The 11,614-nt window shown below is 35.7% G+C and overlaps 1 long non-coding RNA gene across 1 annotated transcript; it reads left to right on the forward strand.

Annotated features, from left to right (window-relative positions):
* Positions 1–8,009: 8,009 nt before the first annotated feature.
* On the forward strand, positions 8,010–10,640 carry LOC124904233 (uncharacterized). The gene is made up of 2 exons (XR_007066260.1): positions 8,010–8,080; positions 10,162–10,640. It is a non-coding gene; the product is annotated as an uncharacterized LOC124904233 (long non-coding RNA).
* The last annotated feature ends 974 nt before the right edge of the window (positions 10,641–11,614 follow it).

Below are 11,614 nucleotides of genomic sequence, written 5' to 3' on the forward strand. Positions count from 1 at the left end.
TGAATCAATGCAGTAACAGAAAAACAAATACAACATATTTTCACTTATAAGTTGAGTGCACATTGAGTGCATGTGGACATAAAAATGAGAACAATAGTCCCAGTGGACTCCTAGATCAGGGAAGGAGCAAGGAGCACAGGGGTTGAAAACCTACCTATTGGGTACTAGGCTTGCTACCTAGGTGACAAGATGCATGCCCCAGACCTCAGCATCACATAATATACCCATGTAACAAACCTGTCCATGTACCCCCTGTACCTAAAATAAAAGTTAAAATTATTTTAAAAAGCGAAAATAAAAATAAAACCCCTATATTGTAAGTGCTAAGTGCCTAGCACATAGCATGTTTAATAATGCTGATCAGGCAAACGAATGAATCAATGAATCAGTATAAAATCCCACAGGAAACAGAGAAAGGCACCTTGCCCATTGGTAGTGGCAACAGAGCAGGGGCACTAAGCAGCCATGGATCTCTGTAAGTTTACCATGCTCTAAGAGGAAGGGAGAGAGTGGCAAACATATGAAAAGCAGGTGATAGGAAATTAAAGACAAATCTTATCTAGCGTTAGCTCTGATTATCAAGTTGGTGGTGACTTTAGCACCATCTACCCCCAGTCAAATTCATTTCTATCTAGGGAATAAATGGAGGGAAAGAAGGATGGAAAGCTGAAAAGAAAAGCCTCCAGGTCTCCACCCATGCTTCTATCAAAGGAGATCATTACTATCTGAATTTGTGTTAAGATAGCTATATTTTCACTTTAAAATATTTTCTGTGATAAACAAATAAACAGTGTATGAATAATTTTGAATACTCACATTCATTATGCCAATACGTTTTAACCACATTACTTCCTAATTGATCTTATAGGACATCTCCTCTGGAATCTTTCATTGACCTAGAGCTTTAGCACCCTGTGTTTATTCACCTCATGAGACCGACCACATATCAGTTTTAGAAGGGTCACCGAGGACTTTATTATTCATTATTTTACTCCCAGGAATAGATTAGGTTATCGGTAAATACATATTGTATGATTAAATGAAATATTGGAGTTACTAAAACACAATACGCAACAAACTCAGTATTGTAAATGTACCTTGGAACTCTTAATTGGTTGAACAAGGCATAATGTATATTTGCCAACTTGCTATAGATTTCATTACCTTGTGATACCACATTGAAATGTAGATATGTTAAGAAATTTACCAAATAATAAGTGACAGGTTATACACCTACCACTCTGTTCATGAGACCCTATTACTTAATAAAAAGCAGCAGAAAGGCCAATATGACAATTTTTTTAGTTCAAAGAATTATCAAGTTCAGCCTCTACTTGATAATAAAAACTAATTAAAATTCATTTCTCTAATTTCAAAGTGTTCAAAATTTCCTTAACCACTATACTTAAAACTTTTTGGTTTTATCATTGTTTTACATATATAAATGCTTCAGCTATCTGGGTTCTGACTTTCCACGGGATAGTAACCGGGCACCTTTTACTTTCTGCTCTTTATTAATTTAGGCATTTTCCTTCCCATTAAGTGAGAATAAAAGGCAGAGGAAGTGAAGTTTAAATGAGATGCTTTTGTTATTTGATTATAATGCCAATAAATAAATTTGGTATGGGTTGAAGTTGAGAAATATTGCTAACTGCAGTTTTTTGATTATCTATGGATTTCAATTATCCAGGAATCCTTCTTCTTTGTTGGAATAAATAAATGCAAATTAATGTAACCATTTTGAATAGAATTTAAAACCCACCATGCACAACTTCATTATCTGGAACTGGACTTTCATTTTGAAAGACTGAAGGGAATTTAGGAGATTACATTATTGTTATTTTTCCATTTCTTTGAAAAAGCTGACATAAAGTGTTTCAAGCATCAAGAAAACAATAAATCAGAAAGATTGTCAGTTAGTCTCTTTTTAGTACTCTATTGATTGTAAGACTTATATTCTATTATATTCTTGAAACTTAGTGGCTATGATTCTTGAAAAACATTTTAAGACATAAGAATATATAAGACATAAAAGTTTCATTCTTGTATATTACATGCATATGCTATTGCAACAGTAATAAAAGAAATTTATAAACTCAAATTATTAAATACGAAAATATTCCACAAAATTTTGCTGTCTTCGTGAATAGATGTTCAATATTAACATGTGGCCTCAGGTGGTCATGATTAAATTAATACTGTTACATGGGCCAGGGACTTTGATCTTGACCTTCAGCAAGTTACTTTACCTCTTTTTCCTTCAGAATAAAAAAGGTCTCAGTTTCCTTCAGAATAAAAAAGCACTTGTAGTAATGATATATAAATAAATTAAAATATGAATATAAATTAAATATATAAGTATACGGATACATGACCTGCACATAGCTAACTAAATAATAGTTGAACTATGGTTGTTAATACCATCTTTGACTTCTTTCCTTTCCCTCATCCTATATCAAATCAGTTGAAAAATCATCCGAAGGTGTCAATTTCTGTAGTGTCTCTCAAATTTGTTTAGTCTTCTTTTCCATTCCACTATTGTTACCTAAGACTACAGTACCACCACCTTGTCTATTTTAAGAGTCTCATAACTGTTATTCTCTCCAATCTTTCCTCCTTTAGTCCAACCACAGGTCCTGCAAGAGAATTATTTTAAGAAGAGAGTTGATCATGTGTCTCCTCATGGAAGAAAAGATTTAATACTTCATCATTTATTATTCAAATCAGAACCTGACTGACCTTAGCATTTGGTCACAATGTGCTGTAATCCACATTTCCAGCATCCTCACGATCGCCTATACCTCCTGTACATCTTCTTCCCTTCATGCATCACCCCAAAATACATCCTAAAACATATCACTTGCTTGATGAAAACCTCTGAATTTCCCCAATCCACAACCTTGGTTTGACCTTAAAATTCTTCCTTCTGGCTGGGTACGGTGGCTTACACCTGTAATCCCAGCATTTTGGGATGCTGAGGCAGGAGGATCACTTGAGCCCGGGAGTTTGAAACAAGCCTGGGCAACATGGTAAGACTCCATTTCTACAAAAAAATTTAAAAATTAGCCAGGCCTGGTGGTATGTGCCTCTAGTCCCAGCTACTTGGGAGGCTGAGGTGGGAGAATTGCTTGAGCCTAGGGAGTTGAGGTTACAGTAAGACATGTTCATGCCACTATACTCCATGTCTCAAAAAAATAAAATAAAATAAAATCCCTCCTTCTATCTATGGTGCAGCTAGAAATACCCCATAAAGAGACACCAGATTCTGAGTTCTAGTGTATTATGATATTTCCCCAGACACTGACTTATATTCATCTTCCAGAATTCCTATCCTGCATTCCGGTGTGCCCCTCACTTGGTAAAGCACTACATCAAAGCTGCCTTTTGCTTATCTGAGGATTCCTTGGACTGACACTTTACTATGACTGCATGTTTGATTTTCCAATACAGTTCTGACATATAACAAGGGCTTTTAGATTCATTAGTAACACTCTAGAAAGATCCTCATACCAGAAGGACCCATCAGCTCTAGAATGACAGCCTGAACAAACCACCCAAGCCTACTTCATACAAGAAGGAATTAGACCAATCCATTAATCTCTTCCCTCCTTTATTCTAACTAATGTGTGTCTCAGATTTTCATCTCTCTCAAGAAGCATTTCACAGCTCCCTTAGAGTATTCTTTTTCTCCCCCACAATCCAGTTGAATGTTGCTTTTTTTCTATAACTTAGGTCACATATTAATTTTTCATATTTTTTATATTAATGTCTTTTACTCTCACTATAACATAGGCTTTTAGATAAAATATCTATTTTAGTTTTCATGATACTTAAACCAGAGTATTCTTCATAGCAAATATTCAATAAATACATGATAAGTTGAACTGATGTAATAAGACTATCACTCAATATTTATAAAACAATTTTGAAAACAAAACTATAGATACATGGATACATGGAAGAGCAAGTAATAATATCAATGTCCAATTATAGTTAAAAATTGAGAAATTAATAGAAATCAAGTTATTACCATAAATATGCATCTTTTCTCTCCCAAACCAAAATAACCTTATTGTTCATAAGACAGTGTATTACTCAGGGTTTTCTAGAGGAACAGAACTAATCAGATATATGTAGGAGTTTAACTTACACGATCACAAGGTCCCACAATAGGCTTTCTGCAAGGAGGAGAGCCAGTCTGAGTCCCAAAAAGGAAGAACTTGGAGTCTGATATTCAAGGGCGGGAAGCACCCAGCATGAGAGAAAGATGTAAGATGAGAGGCTAGGCTAGTCTCTACTTTTCATGTTTTCCTGCTTGCGTTATATTTGCTGGCAGCTGATTAGAATGTGCCCACCAGATTAAGGGTAGATCTACTTTCCCTAGCCCACTGACTCAAATGTTAATCTCTTTTGGCAACACTCTGGCAAACACACAGAGGATCCAATACTTTGTATCCTTCAATCCAATCAAGTTGACACTCAGCATTAACCATCACAGAAAGAAATGGTTAAAATAAAGGAAATATGGTCACACTGCAGAACACTATGCACATGTTAGAAAGAAGAGGTAGAACTAAATATGTTAAAATTGAAGTGTCTCTGAAACATATGGTTGAATTTAAAGTTGTTTCAAAATGACAAAAACTGTATTACATCACTTATATATTAAGACTATAAAATTTAGTATCCTGGACCTGACACTAAATATTCTCTAAGAGTACATATATACATATGCAAAGACACAGTGAAAGGTCTAGAAGAATAAGCAACACACGGAGAGGTCACTAATTACCTTTGAGGAAAATCAAGGAGAAGTAGACTGGGATTGGGATGGTGGTCATTAAACTGAACTTTAGCATTTTTTTCTACTTATATAATGTTTCATTTAAAAACAGAAATCTCCAAGTCCAATGCCAGAGTTCAAATTCTCTCTCTGCCATTTACTACTTGTGTGAATTTTGCAATATATTACCCTCTGCTGCTCATCTACAAAATGTTTATAATACACCTACCTAATAGGCAGGGCTGGCTTCTTGGTCATTCAAATAATTTGTAAAATTACAATCCTGATGTTAAAAAGCAGAATATTTAGACAGAAAACATACAGTCCCACTCCCCAAGTATATGTTTTACATTTCCATATTATACCATATTTCATATTATAGCTGAGAAGTTTATATATACTATATATCATGATCTGAAAATGAAAATTAACTCTATCAATTTAAAGATGTATATGTAGTTTAGTCATTGAATTTAGTATGTCCTCATAGGTTAGAACATATTTCAGACAAGACTAAATATCTCTGAGATCCTCAAATGTAAAATTCAAAGCAAATTTAATAAACTATTTTTCTTTCTGCTAGAATAATTACATTGAACACTTCTTGTCATACATGATTACATCAACTGCCTATCCCTGGCTACATTTTTTCTTATGAAAGAGTTCTTCTCAACAGTTGCAAATTTATTTTCATTATTATTGACCTTTCAGGTTGTTATTGACCAACTCAAAAAAGTTCTGACCATATGGCAAAATGATTTCCTAGAGTCTAAATGCAGAAGTCGAGGTGGCAGAACTTGCTCAAATGATAAATCCAAAACAAATCCAAGATCATATCTAAATAAGTCTTGAAAATCTGCTTATTGCTATGTAAAGAAAACAGAAGAATTACTGCATTAACTCAAGAACTCTGCTACTTTATTTTACATTTCTAGTTTACTTAAAAATGGATCTGATGGAATATAGGTCTTGTTTTGCTCAGACAACTAAATGCCTTAACAATTTCTAGTCCCTATCCATTTTTTGTTTGCTTTCCTTAATGTTCTTGTTATTCCTAAGAAAACTCACAATTGAAAATATTTTTGTTCAGCATTGTCACCCAACATTTTCTGAGTATATAATATGAGACAGGAATTGTGCTAGGTACTGTCAATATACGTGGAAATAATTGACACTCTTTGCCATTATCAAACTCACAATCTAGAACAAAAAACAATCAAGCAGACAAATTATTATTTTTCTTAGAATTTATTTGCTAGAACAAAGGCTCATATGTTATAGCCACTCATACAAACCAGTCCTTTGAAAGCAATTACATTAAGCCCTAAGCATATTATTTTGAGGAAAACAATGGCAAATTTAACCCAAACAATACTAATGATTATATATACTAATTATTTATTATCAGTGACTTTTTTCAATGTCTATTTTTTTCTGGCTAATATTATTTTTAAATTTTTTCTGTAAGTTGATTTATATCTGTAGCCTGAAAATTCCTCCAAAATTTATGGCAACTATATCACAGTGAGAGAATCAATTCCCAACATGATTTCCTTTTAGGCTCTGACTTATCTTAGATCAGGAGACTTGGATAGATCTTAATTAGCATAAGGCTTTTTGTCAAGCAGCCACAGGATATCTCTAGCTCAAAACCTTAGCATTTAGAAAGCATTTAAGGATCTATGAGGATTACTGTCCTGTGGACACCTGTTATAAATCTGAGTAAGAGCCTGGAAACATTACTTTCCAAGTGTTTCTATTTGATATAATCAGGCCTGACCACCAGCTTGTGTTTCTGCCAAGTCTATTATGTATAATTTTTAGTTGATGTAATTCTCTTAAAGCCAAATCAGAGTGCTGTGCTGTAAATAAAGCTCACTCTTCTTCACAGCATGCAACTGTGTGATTACTCCTACTAACTTTCTCTACCCCAGCCAAATCATGCATATCACCAAGGAGGTGCCAGTGTAAAAGGAAAAGAATAGAGCATTCCTAAACTGTAATGATGTGTACTTTATCAGCCATTGACATGCACAATGAAAGAGGAAGTAATTGCCTGACGGTGTCAGGTGACCTTCGAGTTTTACATAGAAAAGAATTCAGAGGCAATAATACTTAACAAGTAAAAGTGACATTTTTCAATGTCACAGCTGGATCAGAGCAACCTACTATTTAGTCTACTATTTTCATGTGAACACGGAGTACTTGTGTCAGCTTTTTCATCTTGTTACCAATTTGACTTCATTATTTGGACTTTTCTAAGGCTGTAAATAAACGCTAAGGTTACTAATTTCAAGCAAATGATTCTGGTCTTGAGTATTTTCAGTCTTTTCCTTCTCTGAGCCTCTGTATTGTCTACACCTTGAATCACTCAATCCAGCACTTAAATTAAAGATAAGCGTTTAACTGTTCTTGGAGATAAAACAGAATCTTCCCTCTTTGTGGTAACACTGACTAACCTAGAGAGTCCTGGCACATAGTAGGTTTTTGAAGAATGCTTTTGGTCTGATTCAATCTCTTAGTTCCTGACCCCATTACACTCACTACTCAAATGGTTACAGAATATTCTAGCAGAAAGAGAATGCAGCCAAGTTTACTGAGGAGAATGAAGTGATTTTCAAAGGAACAGCTAGTTCTCAGCAGAAAAAAAAGAAACTCAGAATCTTAAGATAATTTCCTTTCTGCTTCCACAGGCCGCGGACAATTACCATACTTGGCCTTTTTTTTCTTTTTTTTCGAGGCAGGGTCTCGCTCTTGTCGCCCAGGCTGGAGTGCCGTGCGCGATCTCCACTCACTGCAACCTCTGCCTCCTGAGTTCAAGAGATTCTCTTGCCTCAACCTCCCAAGTAGCTGGGATTACAGCCACATACTACCACGCCTGGCTAATTTTTGTATTTTTAAAGTAGAGACGGGGTTTCACCATGTTGGCCAGGATGGTCTCCAACTCTTGACCTCAGGTGCTCCTCCCGCCTTGGCCTCCCAAAGTGCTGGGATTGCAGGCGTGAGCCGCCGCCCCCGGGCCATACCTGGCCTTTTTAGTAACCAGGCCACACAGCAGGAGATGAGTGGCAGGCAAGGGAGCATCACTGCCTGAGCTCCGCCTCCTGTCGGATCAGCCAGGGCATTAGATTCTCATAGGAGCACGAACCCTATTGTGAACTGCGCATGCGAGGGATCTAACTTGCGCGCTTCTTATGAGAGTCTAACGTCTGATGATCTAATATGCCTGATGATCACCCCCCACCTCCTCTGGAAGAAAAATTGTCTTCCGCAAAACCGATCCCTGGTGCCAAAAAGGTTAGGGATCACTGACCTAGGGGACGTTGTAAATTTTGATGCAAAATTTGGAGATAGTCTGTGAATACCTGAAAGTATCTCCGAATATCTAAATATTCCAAGTAAATGATTCTAATAAATTAGAAGAAAATGTAATAAATGTTTTCCAACCTCATGAGAAATTGAAGGAGAAGACAAAGCATTCAAGACCACATTCAAAAAAATATCTGCTTCTGAATTAGGAAATGCCAGTGGCCCGGTACTCAAAATTTGCACAGAAAACTGTGCTAAGCTAGTGATTAAAGAAATAGTATTCTGAGTCTTAAGGACTTAAAGTAGGAATTGGACAGCCATCCAAAAGTAAAGTAAAACAAATAAAAATTCTCATGGGTTTATACAATTGCATCCAATCCCAAATAGCCCTTGTTAAAATATAATTTACCTTAGGTTACCACTCAAGGAAAACCAAACAGTTCTATTTTCTCCCCTATGTGATTGCCAGCTGAGTTATAAGAATGTTTTATAGCACTTTAAGTCCTAGACAAAGGATCACCATGAATTCTTCTCTGCCCTTTCTTTCTTGGCAAATATCTTTTACCACTAAAACCAATGTGGTTTCCACTCAATCCCTTAGGCCACTGACTACTACCCTCTTAAAGGTAACTGTAGCAGCCATTAGACCGCTTTGACAAGAGATAGTAATTCACCTCAATATACCTTTCAAATTTGTTAAATAAATGAGAGTAACGTGGGTGTCCCATTTGCTACTGTTCACTCCTAACTGAAAGAGCTGTGAAAAGTTAAAGTAGAGATACAGCAATTGCATGACCACCTGCTGTTCTTTGTGACAGCTGCCACTGCCCCTTGACACAAAATGTCATAGCATTGTCACCTAATAACTAGGCAATCCAAAAATCTGGGGGTATCTTAATGAATGTACTACAGTGTACATTGGTCCGAGGATTTATGCTGTCATTCTGGTACCAGGAGTAAAGGCTAATAACCTCAGCTTCCAAATGAATATTTGCAAAACTCTCAAGCCAAGATGGTGTAACTGCATTTGTGAAAATAGTTGCCTTTTCCAGCATCAGGCATGGCTTAGTTTTGTAATTTTAGGTTTAAATTAAAACAAAATATTGTTCTTAGGATTACATGTATGAAGAAAGGAAGCTTTAGCTTCTCACAGGGGAATTATCTATATATTTTTGGAGTCCTGTTTAAATCTATCATCAAGATCCTTTCTTTTATAACTACCTAATGATCTATTATTCAAGCCAAAATATTGTAGGTTTTATGGTTTTCACTTATTATTCAGAGCAACTGTCTCATGACTATGTAACATCTCATATCCCACTCAGTGTCTCCAGCCTAAGAAAAGTTGGATATGTTTTTCTCTCTTATTTGAATTGTGAGATTCAAATAAATGTGAATCAGATAAAAACTTAACCCTTTTACAAGATTAGCTATTATGGCCTGCTGACCGGCTGATTAAAAACAGAAACTATTTAATGAGAAATTAAGTTTTAAATGGAAAGCAGAGCCATACACAGCAGCCTCATCAGGAGTAAATACAGGTTGTAGGCACAAATATAAGACATAATACTTTCTGCTCCCATGGGGCTCTTCTTTGACAGGCAGAGCCACCAAAAAAAGGAAAGTAAAATTCTCATTATCATCCCAAGGACACAAAACGGTAACTGAATTGAGTAGGAGAAAATAATTGGGTTAGAATTTATTCTTATAATATGGGAATGGAGCTTTTCCTAGTTTTTGTTTAAATTTTTCCTATTTTTAGTTTATGATTCCAATTAATGCTGCTGTTGATTTAGTCTATGCTTTTATCTTTTATGCAAAACTTCCAATGAATAAGCTAAAGGGAAACTTGCAAAATCCATAAATACTCTAACATGACTAGACTTGTCCCCTGTACCTTTAGAGATCAGAATTTGAAGATAGATACCAAAGGATCTTGTGATGATGTATTGGATTAATTCACTAGCCTCTCACTTCTTTAGTTTCTGAGAGACCAAATCTTTAAAGCTGACATATGGGAGAGTGGTGATATATTGGATTAATTCTATATCCCCTTACTTTCATTTTAGGTCCCACGTGTTTCAATGGACATTTGTCTCCATCATAGCCACATCACACCACAGATTTGATTTTTCAGTTCATTTGGTCAAATGCCACTCAAAACAAGAAATGCTAAAGGAGAAGAAGAGTCCAGTTCAAGATCTGCATTTCATTTCTGATGTTGGCCCAACAACTTTTTCCTTCCAGTTTCTCGGAAGCCTGCCTCCATAGTTCTCTTTTCCCCCAGTTCGCCCAAGAATTTAAAGTGAGAATTCAGAATATTCTTTCCCCTTTTCCCCTACTAATGATTCAACAGGTAGTATGAATTTTCCATATTCTGTTTAATGCTAGGCATCAGATTTTCAGAGTTTCTAGCCTCATTTCCTCTGAAACCATTATTTTTGCTGTGTAGTATCTCTGTCTAAGGTTGTATTTTAAAAGATTCCCAAGTCCTTTGTACTATGACAAGCATGGAATATAACTTTACTATTGACAAAGAACAAAGAGAGATCAGAAATAAAAACACTGGGAACTGTACACAAGCTCTGTAACCTCCTTTCTTGAGACATTCTGAAACTTGCTATAAAGCAATTTATATGAAAGCATTCTCATGTACAATATTTCACACAATCCCCATATTAATACGAAGTGAAGTCATCAATCTCCACTTAAATTTACATGTTAAGAGACTAGCCTTTGACATGTAAAGTAACTCACCCAAGGTCACGTAGCTAGTAAATGGCAAAATGGAGATTTTTAACTAGGTTTAATAAATCCAAACCATTCCCCCAAACTATTTTGTTGTCCAATAAGAGTTAGAGAAATTGCGGTTTAAAAACAGGAAATAGATTAACATCAATGAGAATAGGCACTATAAACAGTAGCTATGATCTATTGGGCCTTTCCAACACATTACAACAGGCTGTGGGTATCTGCATGAAATATGCATAGCATTGCAATGGGAAAGAGGAGCTATGAGCCTTTCAGAATAAGTGGGCCAAACGCAGTGTAGAATGCTCCCTACAGTTGCCCTTTTGTGAAATTCACACTCTAATCACATATTCAATGTTTGTCTTTGTGGAGAATATACTCTCTACAAAGGGAAACAACCTTAATTCTCCTAAACATAGACACCAGGAAGAAAAATAAGGTTAATTTCTTCATTCTAGATTCTAGCTGATGCCAGCTCTAGAGCTTCCAGGTTGCCCAGGACTATACCAGAAGCCTTTACTTCATCCTATGCATAATATTGACAAATAAGCTTATGTTTTAAACACTGATTCTCTGAAAAATGTTTTAAATCCAGCCATGAAGTGTCCATAAGCTAACATATACATTACTTTTACAAGGTGCACTCTGGAAGGAATCCTTTAAAAAGTTAAAATTTATTTACGTAAGCTATGTAGTTGTGTGGCCACTATGAAAGAATACTTAGTCAGTAGAACACAGAAAGAAAATGAAATCAGGAGTTATGCTACATCA

The sequence above is a fragment of the Homo sapiens genome, chromosome 1 (assembly GCF_000001405.40).
Source record: "Homo sapiens chromosome 1, GRCh38.p14 Primary Assembly".
Lineage (NCBI taxonomy): Eukaryota > Metazoa > Chordata > Mammalia > Primates > Hominidae > Homo > Homo sapiens.